The 18,381-nt window shown below is 38.9% G+C and overlaps 1 protein-coding gene across 7 annotated transcripts in view, besides 2 other annotated features; it reads left to right on the forward strand.

Moving 5' to 3' along the window:
• Positions 1-18,381, forward strand: part of CPNE3 (copine 3) — a 47,064-nt gene that overhangs the window by 1,697 nt on the left and 26,986 nt on the right. For 5 of the 7 annotated variants that reach the window (XM_047422393.1, XM_024447322.2, NM_003909.5 and 2 more), the window contains 4 exons: positions 12,405-12,546; positions 12,814-12,993; positions 15,024-15,098; positions 16,378-16,449. In XM_047422393.1, coding sequence (XP_047278349.1) covers positions 12,415-12,546; positions 12,814-12,993; positions 15,024-15,098; positions 16,378-16,449 — 459 coding nt within the window. In that variant the 5' untranslated portion in view covers positions 12,405-12,414. Of the gene's footprint in view, positions 1-8,745; positions 8,867-12,404; positions 12,547-12,813; positions 12,994-15,023; positions 15,099-16,377; positions 16,450-18,381 lie in introns of all 7 variants that reach the window. The other 2 variants (XM_047422394.1, XM_017013945.3) reach the window with 1 other exon arrangement.
• Positions 7,157-7,256: an enhancer, noted in NCBI's record as "active region_27597". NCBI's record gives its function as "activates an Ori minimal core promoter by ATAC-STARR-seq in GM12878 lymphoblastoid cells {active_cell/tissue: GM12878}" and the evidence as "EXISTENCE:reporter gene assay evidence [ECO:0000049][PMID:35858748]".
• Positions 7,277-7,326: an enhancer, noted in NCBI's record as "active region_27598". NCBI's record gives its function as "activates an Ori minimal core promoter by ATAC-STARR-seq in GM12878 lymphoblastoid cells {active_cell/tissue: GM12878}" and the evidence as "EXISTENCE:reporter gene assay evidence [ECO:0000049][PMID:35858748]".

Consider the following 18,381-nt stretch of genomic DNA (forward strand, 5'->3'; position numbering starts at 1 on the left):
TTGAGACTCTAGATGTGAGGTGGAGCTGAATTTTAGGACCCCACAGACCAAAAGGTGCCTGGCACAAACCCCACAATGAAGTCTGCAGTTCTCTTTCAGGATTTCTTCTTTCAGGTCTAGTCCCTGAAGAATAGGAAGGGAGAGGAGGCTCCAGGACGGGAGAAACAGAAGGAGTGTTTGCCATTAAGGGTTGCATAATGACTGGACACCTCTTCTAATTTTACCTATAACTGTGAACACTTTATAGACAATGGTCTTCATTTTCATATAAGTTTATGGCAACCTATTATACATTTTAAAATATTTTATTTTCTATGCTCTTTATGATGGTATCACTGCTGCCCTGGGTATTTCCCTTGCAGCATCTGTTTCGGTACCTAGTTCATATTGTACTCCAACACCTATCAATTCTTTTATTTACTTATTTATTTATTTTATAATAAAGATGAGATCTTACTATGTTGCCCAGGCTGGTCTTGAACTCCTGGGCTCAAGTGATCCTCCTGCCTTGGCCTCCCAAAGTGCTGGGGTTACAGGTGTGAGCCACCACACCCGGCCCTATCAATTCTTGGTATGGCTTATCCATTGTTTCCTTTGCCTTCTTTATTTTTTGGTACTATCACTGGGCTTTTTTTCTTACTATTGTTAGAGTTTTCTCTTTTTTCCTCCCTTTCAAATGTTCTTTAGTCAGTGATTTATTATGCTAGAAAGTATGCCTGTTAGCAAAACTATAAAAGTTAATGTTAGATGTGAAAAATGATTATATGTCATTTGACCTTCAAAGATTCATAATGCCACCACTGCTCACCAAAGCATGATATTTCAGGTGGATCTTTTAGCAAGACTCAATGTCACTTCCATTGGTGGTACTCAGTGACCTGCAGGAGTCCTAACTAGAGCATTCCTTTACTGTACCCACCATTACCTTCAGCCTACAATCTAGCTTCCTTCCCACCAATATTTTCCCTTCTTGTTCTTGCTTGTGAGTGGGAATCGTATTGGGGTTTTTTTTGGAGAGACTATTTATTCTTTTAATATAACAGCTTAGCAGTATGCAATCATAACTTTTTAAAAGACATTAAAATTCATCAGTATTATGGTCACATTTACCAATATGAATTAGGTGGATAGCATATTAGTAAGTTTCCTCATAAAAAAAAAGAAGGAAATACTACATACTCATTTTAGTAAATCATTTTGAAATGTCTCTTGCAAATGGTTGTATTATATCTAGTTCCTGTGAAAATTACCAGAGCAACTGTGTGGTTTTCTGGACACATTGTTATCCGGCTATTTCACCTTCCCTGGCTTTTAGTTTACCACGCCTTTAGACTTCAAGGTGACGGTCAGTACCTGTTAAAAGAGGTACCTGCAACTGTAAAGAGGAACTTACTTATCTGTCCACATTTTCATGTTTATGTGTCAGAATTTTTTAAAAAGAAGTGAAAATTAAGACAAATACTTCCTGATGGTATTGTCAAAACAATTTTATAAAATATGTAAAATTGCACCCCACCTTCAGTACTTCTTGTTCTCCTTCTTTATTGTTCCCTGTAGCACTTACTGCCACCTAATATACTATATATGTTACTTATTTGTCTTCATTGTTGTCTGCCTTCCTGCAGTGTAACTAACCTCTCCCTGATGGGGATGGTGGCCTGCTTTGTTTATTGTTGGCTCTCCAGCACCTTAGAACAGTGCCTGACACACAGTAGGCAATCTATAATATTTGTTCAATAAGTGTTGAATGAATTAATAGTACTATTAAACTGCTCATGATTGGGAAATATAAAGGGATTTGCCCTAATTAAAAACAGCTGAAACGATGTGTTAAGCAACCAGGACATGAATATTCTTGAAATCAGGAAATGTATAAACATCTCAACAGCCTTTGCCCAATATACAAACTTTTTAAACCTTGAGAACCACATGGTTGTGGTTGTTGCTGCTTTAAACTGAAGGCATTTTTAGATTATTTGTTCACCGTGAACTAGAAAGGAGCACACGGTGATGAATTGTGAAGTGCCCATCTTGCCCAATTAAATATACATGCTCCCCTACAAAGAAAAGGAAAGGAGTCAAATTTTGGAAAGCATGCATTTAGAGTCGGGGCATGGTGGACACCAGGGCAGGTGAGAGGTTCTGGTGGCTGGTTCAACATCTGGGAAATTCCAGAAGGGGGGAAATTCTTAATGTGGTCTGAGGGGAATGAGAACCCCAGGAGACTTCAGTCTTCACAGGTTGGTGTACCTTAATATCAGATCCAGCCTGCCTGCTGCACAGCTGGCCAGCAGCTTTACTTAGTCCTTATAATGGAAAACTTTTCAACTGAACACTTGGGATTTTCAGCTAGGGGATGCAGCACTGATTTTCATTGAGGGTAAACGGTGATTCACTTTGTAGACATGTATTTTATAGCCAGCTTTGCCAAGATGCATGTTCCATAAAGTGGGACAGTAGTGAGACATCACCACTGCTTCTTTTTTTCTTAAGCCAGTCAAATTTAGCAGTAGGGGGTGTATACCAACTTTAGCAACACTGATGTTAGTAAGTTCTTATTTTTAACTTTTTAACTTTAATTTTATTTTTTCTGCTTAGGTAGCTAATAAGTTCTGATAGCCCTTCTTTTTTAAAAAAAAATATTTATTTATTTATTTGTGAGATGGGACCTCACTCTGCCACCCAGGTTGGAGTGCAGTGGCATGATCTCGGCTCACTGCAACCTCCACCTCCCAGGCTCAAGCAATCCCACCTCAGCCTCCAGAATGACTGGGACCACAGGCACACCCCACCACACCTGGCTAATTTTTGTATTTTTGGTAGAGATGGGGTTTAGCCATGTTGTCCAGGCTGCTGTTGAGCTCCAGCCATCTGCCTGCCTCAGCCTCCCAAAGTACTGGGATTATAAGCATCAGCCACCGTGCCTGGCCCAACCCTGCTTCTATTAATAACTTTTATTAATACCTCACTAAATGAACCTATGATGAACTGTTGAATTGATGGACTTGAAAATACAATCAGTGATACTTCCAAAATGTATATACAGTAGCCAAGGGATTAGAAAAGTGGTAAAACCTGAAACATATGTTAAGTAAACTTTGTAGCCAGTTATGAATCATGGAATAGAACAATACCAGGATTTTAGAGAAATTAATGAAGGGTCTTTAGTTGATTGCTTACTTTGTAATGATAAAGAGAAGGTAAAACTGCACCTACTTTTTATTTTTGAAGTTAGAGTGATCACACCTGTTAATTCCTGCTTTCCTCCGTTCTGCATGTCCAAGCATCAGCAATGGTATCACTATTTAGATCCTGCTCAAGATAGTTTAAGAATCTGGAAACTTTTTGAAGTGTGGCTAAAAGCTGATTTATTTTGCTGCCATGATAGATGCTAAGAGCTTAATAATGTGAGATTTCATGGATGCTAATAAAATTTATTTCCTTATTGTGCTGCATCTACTTAATAGACTGGGCCCTGTGGTTTGTTTGTTTATTTAAGTCATCTGAGCACTTAATAACAATTTTGAGCAAAGGTACCTAACTAGTGGAGAAGTTTCTAGATACATTTTTTTCAGATATAGCTTTTTTTGTTTTGTTTTGAAATGGAATTTGGCTCTTTTTGCCCAGGCTGGAGTGCAATGGCACGATCTTGGCTCACTGCAACCTCCGCCTCCCTGGTTCAAGCGATTCTCCTGCCTCAGCCTCCCATGTAGCTGGGATTACAGGTGGGCGCCATCATGCCCAGCTAATTTTGTATTTTTAGTAGAGATGGGTTTCACCATGTTGGCCAGGATGGTCTTGAACTACTGACCTCAGACCATCCGCCCGCCTCAGCCTCCCAAAGTGCTGGGATTACAGGCGTGAGCCACCGCACCTGGCCCCAGATATAGCTTTTTTGATAGAGATGGAGACTGAGTTTGGAAAACTTTATCCTTTTTCTTCCATTTCTCCTTTTTGTACTTATAAATATTCTAATGTTTTCTATTCATTTTAAAAAATCCTTTAGTACCACTTCCTAAACAAGTTCCATATTCACTGTAATTAAATTAGGGTTATAGTACATTAATGGAAAAGACCTTAAGAATTACTTAAAGAAAGGGATTGACTCAACTCTTAGGTTTAACAGCTGAAGGCTGGGCGCAGTGGCTCACGCCTGTAATCTCAGCATTTTGGGAGGCCAAGGTGGGCAGATTACAGGCGGATTACCTGAAGTCAGGAGTTCGAGACCAGCCTGGTCAACATGGTGAAACCCCGTCTCTACTAAAAATACAAAAATTAGCTGGGCGTGATGGCAGCGCCTGTAATCCCAGCAACTCAGGAGGCTGAGGCAGGAGAATCACTTGAACCCAGGAGGCGGAGGTTGCAAGTGAGCCAAGATCTCCATTGCACTCCAGCATGGGCGACAAGAGTGAAAGTCCATCTCAAAAAAAAAAAAGATTTAACAGCTGAAAAAACCTGAAGCCTGGAGAAGTTACAGCAGTTGCCCAAATGCCTGCCATTGTGGTGTGACTAACACAGAACCAGGCATTTCTTTTTTTTTTTTTTTGAGACGGAGTCTTGCTTTGTCACCCAGGCTGGAGTGCAGTGGCGCAATCTTGGCTCACTGCAACCTCTACCTCTGGGTTCAAGTGATTCTCCTGCCTCAGCCTTCCAGGTAGCTGGGACTACAGTGCACCATGCCCAACTAATTTTTGTGTTTTTAGTAGACACAGGGTTTTGCCATGTTGACCAGGCTGGTCTCAAACTCCTGACCTCAGGTGATCTGCCCAGTCCATTTCTTTTGACACCTGATCCAGTGATTCTTCCTTTTTGTTTCTTTTTTGTTTTGTTTTATGTATATTTATGCTTGACATTATTCCCTATCTTCATTTCTGGTATCCTGTGGTAGTGATTAAAAAAATACATCTGGGCATCACTTTGTTACTAAATACAGAACAAGCGTAGTTTAAATTCTTTTAATGTGAGTTTTTTACTCTCAGAGTCTGGATATTAAGTGCAGTATATTCCTGAGAATAAATGTTGCTGCTCTAAGACGATCTAATGGCACCTACACACATGGCAGACCTGTGTGTGTAGAGACACACTAGCAAGGAGAACTTGCTTTCTTAGCCTTAAGTAATTTACAATTTAATGGGTTATCTTGAAGAGGAACTGCTATGAGGTAAATAAAATATAAACCATTCCAGTTCTTCCATTCTTTGGCAAGCTTTTGTTATTCTGGTTACGTTTGTTTAAGAACCATATAACTAGTTTTAGCCTCAGTATTAACCTTGTAATTTTAAAGTTCCTATTTTATTAATTTGTGTCAGGCTGAATATTACTTTTGATATTAACAAGACTTAAGGAAATTAATAGAGAATATTGCTGTTATACTAAGTAACTATTTTTTGATATTGTTTTTAATTGAAAAATCATAATTGTTTACATCTATGGAGTTTATTTATTTTTACTAATACTATTTTTACTTGACAGCTAATTAACTATTAATTAGAGGCTTTAGTGCTCTGAAGGGATTTTGGCATAAAGGGGAAAATACCTGGGTTTATGCTGTGGTGGTGACACTTACTAGCTTTGTGATCCCATGTAAGTAATTTAACCTTTTTGAAGAAATTTATATTTTTTTCCTAATATATACTATGCATTATTTTGAAGATTAACAATGTGCTGAAAATTATCAACATATTCTGGGTCAATCAATTCAGACACTGGAGTGCCTTATATTATAGTCATACCTGTGACATATGGACCTTCCACCATGTAGTAATCATTATCCTGCCTAACTCACAGAGTTTTTGTAAGGTTCAGAAGATAATATATTATTTGGAAGCACTTTGAAAATTGTAAAAAAAAACAAAATCTGTCCAGTTGTATGGAATTATTAACTATCTTTTCTTTCCCCTTATTCTTCTACTCCCCACTTTCTTACTGTCTACCCTTGAATGTAAGGGTGAAAAAGAAATCTGGTAGTCAGTAGCAATAATACTGCAAATTCTTTTTGTAGTGGAGTATAGTTTTAATCGTCAGTAAAAGTAGAAATCTCTGGGGAGCTTCTTCAGCTCCAAGAGCACTTTGATTGTTCCCTGTCTGTACCACACAATTTTATACTCTTGTATACTATTTCTATGTATACATAGTTAGCTAAGTAGCTAAGTATTTATTTCGTTTTTGCCTCCCCCAACCCTCACTTTTGGAACACCTAGAAAGTATTCAGTAAGTAATTGTTTTATGAATGGGTCTCCCCAATTTGATTATAATGAGCTACAAGCGCTTCTGTTGCTGTATAATGTCCCTGCTGTCCTTAGCAAAATAATGGGTTTACAGTAACCTGGTAATAAATACATTTGCTAGTCTGACCTGGGAACTCTGAGGAGCATAGCAGCCTTTGGATTTACAGCCATATTACCTGACGCCCGCTGCTTTTTTTTTTTTTTTTTTTTTTTTTTTTTAGTAGGGGAACACTTATTACTATTCTGAGCAACACAATTTGAGAAACACTGCCTAGGGTGTGTTTTGCTGATGTTGCTGGGCCGGTTCCAGCTGCCCCAGGGTTGCCCTTGCTTGCTTTCAATAGCGGTCAGGCAGGATGTACTGCAGAATAGCAGTTAGTGAATCATGGTATTAGAACCAGAAAGAACTTCTGAGAATTTTTTACATTAGGCCAGTCTCTTCATTTTTCAGCTGAAGACTGAAGGAACTTTACTAAAGGGATTTGTAGATAGGCACCGACTTCTCCTTCACAATTGTTTTAGGACACATTTTGAGTCACTGACATGAGCCTGCGCTCCCCTCACCTGCGTACCTTATCTATACTCAAGGCTGACTATTTCACCAAATTAATTTTATGTAAATCCCAAAAATCATTATTGTTTCAAGAAGCTTTTCATAAGTAAGGATGAGAAAGCTGCTTTATGTCTTACTACTTAATAACAAGCCATCTATGCTGAGACAATCAATTAAAATCCCTGACTCAGTAATAAAATAATTGCTACAATTCATAGAGTGTCTATTATATGCTGAGCATGCTACAGACCTACAGTTGTCAGGGTTTTTATTAAGTTTATTTTTCTCTCTTAGCCTTATTTACATTGAAGGACTAGTGTCAGGGTTTTTTAATATCCCCATTTTATAAATTAGGAAATTGAAGTTCAGATAGACAATTTGGCAGAGGTGACACATCCAAATTAGTGATGGGAAAGAAATTTGAATGACACACGCTGACTCCAGCATTATTGCTCTTTCTGCTACAAATAACCTGTGCCAGATGTCATGCTTCAGGAAGAAGAGGAAGTGGTAAAATATGTTCGCTGCCCACAGTTCACAGTATATAGACGGAGTGATGAGCCACAAATACAAGTAACAATAGTGGAAAGAAAATAGAATCAGTGCCATAACAGCATGAGGGGTATCAGCAGGGTATCAGCAACAGCTGTATGAATGAAGTATCATTTGAAGTGTTTGTTTTGTTTTGTTTTGAGATAGAGTCTCACTCTGTCGCCCAGGCTGGAGTGCAGTGGTACCATCTCGGCTCACTGCAACCTTCACCTCCTTGGTTCAAGTGATTCTCCTGCCTCAGCCTCCCGAGTAGCTGGGATTACAGGCACCTGCCACCACACCTGGCTAATTTCTGTATATTTAGTAGAGACAGGGTTTCACCATGTTGGCCAGGCTGAGTTCTTGAACTCCTGACCTCAAGTGATCCCCCTACCTCGCCCACCCAAAGTGCTGGGATTACAGGTGTGAGCCACCGTGCCCGGCCTGAAGTGGATCTTGAAGAACTTGGGTGGGCAGAGGTAGCTGTTCAGGTAGATTAGGGGTAGATGTTGGCAGAGCCATGAATTCCAGGCTTAGTTCATTGGACTATCACTTTTTAATCAGAAGTGATAAAACCATAATGTGAATGGAGAGAAAATGGCAGTGGGAATACCCATTAGGAGACTATTATATAAGGCAGGTGAGAGATACAGAAGACCTGAAGTTAGGGTTGTGACTCTGGGTATGGGAAAGCGGCTGTATCTCCATGTTTGGGAGAGATTTGGGGTTCTAGTAGGCAGAATCTCTATGACATCTTTACTGGATAAATCTAAGAGTAGGTTTAAGGAGGAATGGGAAAAGAGGAAGTAGATAAGACTTCAGGATTTTCAGCCAGGGCATGGGAATGACCAGATGCCTTAAATTTCACATATCAGGTACCACTTTAAATATTAGGTCTTAATTCTCAGCTCCTTATGTTTATCTCTGTTATAATATTGATTCAGAACGTTAGGGTGACTGGGAGAATTATTGATATATTTGGTGTTTCTAGGGATTATTTGCATTTCAGAAGACGTGTTTGGATCAAATTTTGTCCAACAAGTAATAATCTGTACAGTAGGGAAGCTGTTGTCTAATCCTAGGGATTATTTGTGTTTTCTATCCTGCTCTTTAAGGAGTAAAATACTACATAGAATTCTTCTTTAGTTGCTCATGCATTCTTTGCCAGGTGACTTATCCCAGCCAAATCTTTCATACTAAAAGAGTATAAAACGTTTGTTTTATTTTTCCTCATCATAATTTTTTTTTTTTTTTTTTTTGCGACAGGGTCTTGCTCTGTCACCCAGGCTGCAGTGCATAGCTTACTGTGGCCTCGAACTCCTGAACTTGAGTGAGCCTCCTGCCTTAGCCTACTGAGTAGCTGGGACTACAGGTGCATGCCACCTTGGCTGGCTAATTTTTTCATTTTTCTTTCTTTCTTTCTTTCTTTTTTAGACGGAGTCTTGCTCTGTCGCCCAGGTTGGAATGCAATGGCGTGATCTCACTGACCGAAACCTCCGCCTCTGAGGTTCAAGTGATTCTCCTGCCTCAGCCTCCTGAGTAGCTGGGATTACAGGCATGTACCACCATGCCTGGCTAATTTTTGTGTTTTTAGTAGAGACGGGGTTTCACCAGGTTGGCCAGGCTGGTCTCAAACTCCTGACCTGGGATAATCCACCTGCCTCGGCCTCCCGAAATGCTGGGATTACAGGTGTGAGCCACTGCGCCCAGCCTAAAATTTTTTGTTTTTGTAGAGATGAGGTCTCTGTTGCTCAGGCTGGTCTTGAACTCCTGGGCTCAAGCAATCCTACTGCCTCAGCCTCCCAAAGTGCTGGGATTACAAGTATGAGCCAATATGCCCAGCTCCCATTATGATTTGTGGATAAAGTATACTATTGCTCTCTTAAAAAATTGTATATCATGTACTGGATAATTACATTAAAAGGAAATGAAAACAGTATCTTCATGAATATTACCATTAACAAGATTCCAGACCCTAGTGTTTATGTAATTTCTTCCATTTGCCATTCAGCCATAATGGGTTTCAGGATAACATTGAGACCAGCACAGAGTCATTTTTCAGAGAGGAATGCTGCTAATAGAAGAAATTTGTTTCCTGGCAGCAATGCAGTAGTATAACTGTCAGCAATTGGTTAAATAATCAGCTGTGCCTGGCATGTTGTTTTTGTAGCTTTTGTATAAGCATTTTTAGGGAAAAAAATAATGCTCTTCTGATATGTGGTGTCTCTTTGCTGTGAGACTGACTTCACATGTAGATGTCTTCATTCTCTGTTGAATTCTTCCCATCCTTGGAAATTTGAAGACTTTTCTGCTGGCTGGTAGAGAATCCTCTACATGTTTTTTTGGGGGAAGCTTTAGCTATTGTTGCTCATTCTATGTTCATCCACAGGGCACTGCATTATGCTTGATATTGCTGACATACAACTTACAAGACTCTAAACTACCTTATGCAAAAAAAAATCATACAACTCACATTTATTTTACAGATTCTGTATTAGATGCAAAAAAACAGTATGCCTGGCACGTGCCAGATTTACAAATTTACTTGCATTATCTCCATTTTTACTGATGAGGAAATCTAGGCCCAGGAAGTTGAAGTTACTTATACGTGGTCACACAGCAAGTGCCAGATGGAGGGTTCAACCGGGCGGTGGCGGGCACCTGAAATCCCAGCTACTTGGGAGGCTGAGGCAGAGAATTGCTTGAACCTGGGAGGCGGAGGCTACAGTGAGCTGAGATCGCGCCACTGCAGTACAGCCTGGACGACAGAGCAAGACTCCGTCTCAAAAAAAAAAAAATTGGGTGTGTGCATTACCCCAAATTTGATCTTGTTCCTGTAATGCAGTAATCTGTTACTATTAGTGCAATAGGAATTCAAAGGAACACCTTAGTATGGATTGGAATAATCAGGATAATCATGGAATGGAATAATAAAAAAATATGAAACATGGGATAGATAAGATAGGATCAGACCCTAGAGGCAGATAGTGATAAAATGATAATAAAATGTGAGCACTTACTGTATACTAGGCACATATATAAATATATAAGATACATATTTTTTGTTTGTTTGTTTTGTTTTTTTTTTGAGATGGGGTCTCACTCTGTCACCCAGGTTGGAGTGCAGTGGCATGATCTTGGCTCACTGCAAACTCTGCCTTCCAGTCTCAAGCGATCCTCCTACCTCAGACTCCAGAGTAGCTGGGATCACAGGCTCATGCCACCACACCCAGCTAGTTTTTGTATTTTAGTAGAGACGAGGTTTCACCATGTTGACCAGGCCGGTCTTGAACTCCTGACCTCAAGTGATCCACCTGCCTTGGCCTCCCAAAGTGCTGGGAGTACAGGTGTGAGCTGCCGTGCCCGGCCAGCTTTGTTTTTAAACGGGTTTTCTAGCTACTTCTAAGACTATGCAACCTACTTCATTTTTCTTAGTCTCTATTTATTTAGGAATCTTAGTATTGATTTTTGACATATGTTGAGGACTGCTACTGTTTTTAGAGAGTTCAATAGAATTATCAAAATTTTTAAATAAGATGTTAGTTGTTTTTTGACATTACAAAGGGCTCTTCTAATGATAATCTTTGTTACTTCAGATTTGCTTAGGCATTTTATACAGCACAGGAATCTTACTGCCATATTTAAATATAACAAGATAATGAGTGGATTTGTTTCTGTGGTCCTAGAACTTCAGCTAAATCTCAAAGTGGAGGGCAAAGGGCATTAAATACTATCCCATTGCAAGGATGTTTGCCAGCAGCTCTAGGGTAGTAGGTACCTTCCCTCCTGCAGAACCTGCCCTAGCACCATCAACCTCCACTGGCTAAGTGGACATCCAGATGGGAAATGCAATGCCTAGTTCCTTTTCATGGTGACACCTGCAGCCCCTTTCATTCCCTGGGTTCATGGATGAAGGCAGCTCACCAGCAATACTACATTCCTTCTCAAGTCCAGCCCCTATCATATGCTCCATCCCATCCCCAGTCCTTTTCATATATTGATTGGAGACTGGGGAAGGAGGGGTCTATGGAAGTTAAGCTAACTCTGATATTTCTTAGCAAGTCATAAGGGAAGATGGGCCACACCTTCTCTCTGTAGAATAGTAGGCTTGTCAACCTTGTCTACACATTAGAATCATCCAAGGAACTGATGTCAGGGTTGTACCCTAAACCAGTTAAAATCTCTTTAAGTGGAACTCCTGCATCAGTAGCTTTGAAAGCTCCTCCAGATGATTCCAGGAAGCAGCCAATATTGAGAACCACTGCTGCAAAATATTGGGAGCTGGGGGTAGAGTGGAGGGAAAGGGGGCTTTGGGGGCTTTTGGTTTTAGTCAAAAAATCTTGAAAACAGAAAATATCCCACTCAGTGTCTTGTTAAATAAACAAATAAAAATAAAACTTAATCTGTTTTGTAGTATAATGCTATGCATACCTTTAAGTGAAGGGTCAAGATAATACTTGGAGTTTTTCTGAATGATAAAATTTATAGTTAAGGTAAAAAGAAATTTTTTTTTTTTTTTTTTTTTTTTTAGACAGAGTCTCTATTGCCCAGGCTGGAGTGCAGTGGCACAGTTATAGCTCACTACAGGCTCAATCTCTTGGGTTCAAGCAATCCTCTTGCCTCAGCCTTCCTAGTAGCTGGGATTATAGGCACACACCACCATGCTTGGCTAATTTTTTTTATTTTTAGTAGAGACGAGGTCTTGCTGTCTTGCCCATGATGGTCTCAAATTCCTAAGCTCAAGCCATCCTTCTGCCTCAGCCTCCCAAAGTGCTGGGATTACAGGCATGAGTCACTGAGCCTGGCCAAGAAGATTAGTATGTCTTATTAGCCATCTTAAAAGCTGTATTTTACTGTCATTCAGTAAATGAATTTTATCCTAGCAAGAGAATCTGATGCAGGCAGTATCATTGGAATGAGCTAATAGACACCCACATCCTGAGGAGGTGCATATAACAGTCTGATTCTGGCAAGTTCACTCTATAAGCCTATTGTGACAATTGGTCTTAAGAAGTCACCTGTTTTTGTTAGGAATGAGTGTGCTTCTTAAAGGCACTGTTTTACTTGCTTTCTCTTTTTATTGGTTTTCTCAGAACTCAAGACATGGCTGCCCAGTGTGTCACAAAGGTGGCGCTGAATGTTTCCTGTGCCAATCTTTTGGATAAAGATATAGGGTCAAAGTCAGACCCTTTATGTGTGTTGTTTTTGAATACAAGTGGTCAACAGTGGTATGAGGTAATGTCAAATACTTTACCTAAAAAGTAATCTGAATTACCCTTTTAACAATGTGAAGAGTTTTTTTAATGTTAAAAATAACAACACTATCTCATCTGTTAATGGAGTTTTTTGTGAAAGTTTGTCCTTGATTGTAGAATTTTTCATACACATATAGAAACTTCCTTTAGTTGTCATGCCTATGTTTATGTTTAGTATATAAAGATGTGAAAATCCAAGTGCACCTTTGATCTGAAGAAACTTTTTTGTTTTTGCGGATGGGTGTAGGTTGAGCGCACAGAAAGGATTAAGAATTGCTTGAATCCCCAATTTTCCAAGACATTTATTATTGATTACTACTTTGAAGTGGTTCAGAAATTGAAATTTGGGGTTTATGACATCGACAACAAAACTATTGAGCTGAGTGATGATGACTTCTTAGGGGAATGTGAATGTACCCTTGGACAAGTAAGTATAAATAGCCACTGTACTCTATTTTGTCTAAATTTTAATCAATGAATTTGGTGGTGTTTTTGGTAAGCAGCATTTAATTTTTAAAGTTGAAAAACATGTAATCACTTTAAAGACAGTTTATATATTAATATGATTGGCTTGAACATTATAGAATTCATCTTATATTTTGTATGGGCAGGAACTATGTATTTATGAAAAAGCCTGTTAATTCTTTTGAGTAAGGGATGCTTCATGAGGCATTTTATTAAGTAATACCTCCGCTTTAGCTGCTGCAGAGTTCTCTACGGTTTTGTTATGTTCAAGCCATAAATGCATTCAAGATAACAGCAACTTCTCTGATCTTCTAACTAGTGAGACTGGCACCTGCTGACTCGCAATGCCCCAATACCATCCCCTTTACCTGGCTTGCTCTTACTCAACCTTATTCCCCCTGATAAACCTTCTCTGACCCTCTAGATTAGTTTGGAATCCTTTCCTGAGCTCACTTGGTACTTACTATCTGGTACTTCTCACCATACTTTTTAATAGTTGCTTAATTATCTGTCTTCCCAGTATATGATAAGTTTGGTCAGGGTAGGGACGTGTCTCATGGCTCCCCATTTTGCTCCTAGGTTAATCTGATTCATAAGGAGAGATTATGACCATTTGCATAGACTGAAGAAAGTTTTAGGAGGGAGGAGTAATTTTTTTTTCAATATGTGACATTTGTCACTCACATATGTCTTTTACAAGTTTATTTTTCAAGGTTGAATTGTTTGGAGATTATGGTATTTTCTGTATCTCAAAAGCAATATGAAACTGATCAGTTTTCTGAAACTTTGATAAATAATATCAAAGAAAAAATTGAGGAAGTATTTCTTTTTTTGGGGAAAAAAATCCCAGTGTAGCTAAAATTCCTATGAATTTGATATATCTTTCAAACAGATACATCAGATGTATATCTGTTTGAAAGAACCTAAGTATACTATATTCCTTAAAGCAATATGACATTTTTGGGGAGTTAAATATTGAAGTTGTGTCTCAGTAGAAAAATTGAATCCTTTTTTTTTTTTTTTTTGAGACAGGGTCTCACTAAGTCACCCAGGCTGGAGTGTCGTGGCTCAATCACAGCTCACTACAGCCTTGACCTCCCGGGTTCAAGTGATCCTCCCACCTCAGCCTCCCAAGTAGCTAGGACTATAAGCACACGCCACTGCACCTGGCTAATTTTTGTATTATTTTGTAGAGACAGGTTTTGGCATGTTGCCAAGGCTGGTCTTGAACTTGTGGGCTCAAGCAATCCTCCCACCTCAGCTTCCCAAAGTGCTGGGATTATTGGTGTGAGCCACTGCACCTGGCCTTGAATCTTATTTATTGAGTGTTCTGAAGCCCATCTTTTACCTAGAAGGTTTCAGCTAAGTGATTTGTTTATGCGATGAGAATCCAGTCCTCTTTTTCCATTACAAGGAACAATTTAAACTTTCACATACATAGGAAGTTAAGAAACTAGTGGGTAGGTAGATTGTATCTGCCAGGGTAGGCTCCTTAGAAGTTTTTTCCAATGAGTTTTAAATATTTAGATTTTTTTTTTTTTTTTTTGAGATGGACTCTCACTCTTGTTGCCCAGGCTGGAGTGCAACAGTGCGATCTTGGCTCACTGCAACCTCTGCCTCCTGAATTCAAGTGATTCTCCTGCCTCAGTATCCCGAGTAGCTGGGATTACAGGCACCCACCACCATGCCTGGCTAATTTTTGTATTTTTAGTAGAGATGGGGTTTCACCATGTTGGCCAGGCTGGTCTTAAACTCCTGACCTCAGGTAATCTGCCCGCCTCAGCCTCCCAAAGTGCTGGGATTACAGGCATGAGCCACTGCACCTGGCTCTAAATATGTAGATGATCTAAATCTTTAAGAAACCAACTGAATGTTTCTATTTCTAATGACTTTAAGTGAACCTTATACTCAGTCTTTTTTGCTGAAACTATTTCATTTAAAAATTCTTAGGTTGAAGGGAAATGACTCTGTATCACTTTCTAATTCTAACAGATTGTTTCCAGCAAGAAGCTAACTCGACCACTGGTGATGAAAACTGGCAGACCTGCAGGAAAAGGGAGCATTACGGTAAAAATAAGATATTTGTCTTTTGTCTCAAAAGATTTAGCATAACAGGACATGCCGAAACTGTCCATATCAGAGAAATATTCTACAGCCATGCTTTGTCACTCAATCTTGAATGTTGCATTCCATCCACCCATGTCTTGTAGTTATCACAAATGGAAAATGTATTGTGCAAACCAGGGGAAACATGCAGTGTAGTAATCCCTTCTTTCAGTTTTTCTAAGTTGCCCGTAGAGGTCAAGTGCACCTTTAGCGATACCTGCCCCTTCTCTGTGGAAGTGTCTATTCTTACGTGAGAGAGAAACTGCTTAATAATCTGTATCAGTTTGGTTCTCTACTGGAGGAACATAGTCCTCTCAACATGACAGAAATTTTCCCTAGTGGATTTTATTCCAGAAGGATGTTATATTATGACATGGTCAATGAACCTATAAACTCTTTACCATCATTTTTTGTGCTTGCTATCTGCTGCCCATCCTTCCACCTGGGCTTTTCATTGCTGATTACTGGCTTTAAGCAAATGAATATATGCTTTATTGTATTTCACATTTCCCATTATATAATGCCAAGCCTGTAAACCTTATCTTCTAGAGTGTCTGTACAGATAACTGCTGCCTGGAGTGATAGTATTTTAACTTTAGCTCCCTCTGAGAATGTAAGGCTAGTTCCCTGAGAGAGCTATGTTTCAAGGTTATCATGATTATCAAATACATTTCTCTGAGCAGCTGTTTTGCTGTAGTTTAAATCTCCAAAGGCATAAGAATGTTCAGGGTGTTGATTTTTGTGGGAAAGAGAACATTATCAGTAGTTAGCTTCCTTGTTGTAGGGCATGATAGACTGATACTTATTTTTAAGAAGAATGAGTTTTTCAGTTACACTGGATGAAAAACATTGATCTGATAATATCAATGTATAGAGTATTCTAGGTATGATTTATTCATGCTTCTCAGTGTTTAGGGAACTTCAGTATTGTGTAGAGGGTATTCTCAGTCTTCTGGGGTTTTGACATTTCTCTTGAATAGGGAAGATCCAATTTGGGCAACCACATTTCAAAAGACATTGCTTAATGCAGACCTGGGCATATTTTGGGAAAATCTTTATTTCACACACATAAAAGAAATAATGGTAGATCTTTTTTAATGATGCCATTTTCTTATGAAACATTTTAGAATTCATTTATATTAGTGTAGGCTTTATATTAGATAACAGAATAAATCAGTGCTTAAGTGTCTATCAGAATTCCTAAAACATATTTTCTTTCACTTACCTGATCTACTCATAGATTTCAGCTGAAGAAATAAAAGATAATAGAGTGGTCTTGTTTGAAATGGAAGCCAGAAAACTGGATAATAAGGTGGGTAGACTATGCAGATTTCAAAAAGGTTGTCATGTTTTGCCTCTTTTTTAAGAAAATAAAAATGCAGTTAATATCATGAACTCCATCATTGAGCATCACATAGGGTACTAGTTACTTTCAAATTTTGCATGTGTGTGTGTGTGTTGTATGTTTAAGCAGAACCCATTTCTCTTCACCTCTTTCATCTAGATGTAATCAAAGGATTTGTTTAGGTTAAGAGAGGAGTTGAATAGAAGCATTAATGTTACTGTAAAAGGCATGAAAGAATACAGTTGAATTATCTTTAGGAAAAAAGTGAAAACTCTGTGCTTTATTAATTATAGGTCAATTATCCTCTTTGCATTCAAAGGTCAATTTTTTTTTATGAAGGATGAGTGCCAATACATAATAACACAACAATTTAGTATATAGCATGGATTATAATAATTCTTTTATCTATCTTATCTATCTATCTATCTATCTATCTATCTATCTATCTATCTATCTTTTTTAGAGACAGAGTCTCACTATGTTGCCTAGGCTGGTCTGGAACTCCTGGGCTCAAGCAATCCTCCCATCTCATACTCCCAAAGTGTTGGGATTGCAGGTGTGAGCCCCTGAGCCCAGCTTTTTGTACTTAATTCTATAATCTAGTCAATATTCTTCATTGTTTGCAATTCAGTTTGAAAACATTTTAGGGCTAGGCATGGTGGCTCATGCCTGTAATCCCAGCACTTTGGGAGGCCGAGGTGGGGAGATCACTTGAGCTCAGAAGTTTGAGACCAGCCTGGGCAACATGGCGAAACCCCATCTCTACAAAAAATACAAAAATTAGCTGGGTGTGGTGGCATGTGCCTGTAATCCCATGTGAGGTGGGAGGATTGCTTGAGCCCAGGAGGTCAAAACTACAGTGAGCAGTGATCATGCATTCTCACCTGTGTAATGGAACAAGACTCTGTCTCAAGTAAAAACAAAAACAACAACAAAAAAACACTTAAAGAAAACATTTTAGACTATAGGCTGGGGACTTTTTTTTTTTAATTGTGGAAAAATTTAAATATATACAAAACTAGAAGACTCTTTTTAAAAAATTTCATGTTCTCATCACCCATTTTCCACAATTATAACTCATGGCCAATTTCATTTAATCTCTACCCTTATCTACTTTCTCTCCTCCCAGACTTCATATCATTTCATCCATCAATATGTTGATGTATCTCTGAAGACACTTTAAAAAATATAATTGTTTAAAGTGTGTCTTACGTCCTTTTAAATCTGTAAATTTCTTCCTTTCTTTTATTTCTTTCTTCTTTTCCTCCCTCCCTTCCTTCCTTTGTATCTATTCTTCCATCCATTGTGGAATTTATTCAATGGAGAAAACTGATTTCTTTATCCTACACAAGTTTCCACGTTCAAGTTGGGCACAGGTGATGCACACCTGTAGTCCCAGCTACTCAGGAGACTGAGGCAGGAAGATGGCTTGATCCCAGGAGTTCAAGGCTGTAGTGCATTATAATTACAAGACTCCATCTTTTTTTTTTTTCAAAAAAGAATTTTCCATATTCTGCATATGGCTAATTAAATCCTGTGGTGTCATTTAACATGTTTCTCTCTCTACTTTTATTTTCTGATTTCTGTAACCTGGCAATTGAATCTAGAAGTATGATCTGCTGGCATTTTTAATTGTTGGCAAGACAGTTTCATCAATGGTGGCATGTAATTCCATCAGGAGGCTCACACTGACTTGTGTGTTTTCGGGAAGTTTGTGATCATTGATGATAACTACCTGGTTTTATTATTAAGAGTCTGTAGGCCCGGTGTGGTGGCTCATGCCTGTAATCCCAGCACTTTGGGAGGCCGAGGTAGGTGGCTTACCTGAGGTCAGGAGTTTGAGATCAGCCTGGCCAACATGGTGAAACACCATCTCTACTAAAAATAGAAAAATTAGCT

The sequence above is a fragment of the Homo sapiens genome, chromosome 8, assembly GCF_000001405.40.
Source record: "Homo sapiens chromosome 8, GRCh38.p14 Primary Assembly".
Classification (NCBI taxonomy): domain Eukaryota; kingdom Metazoa; phylum Chordata; class Mammalia; order Primates; family Hominidae; genus Homo; species Homo sapiens.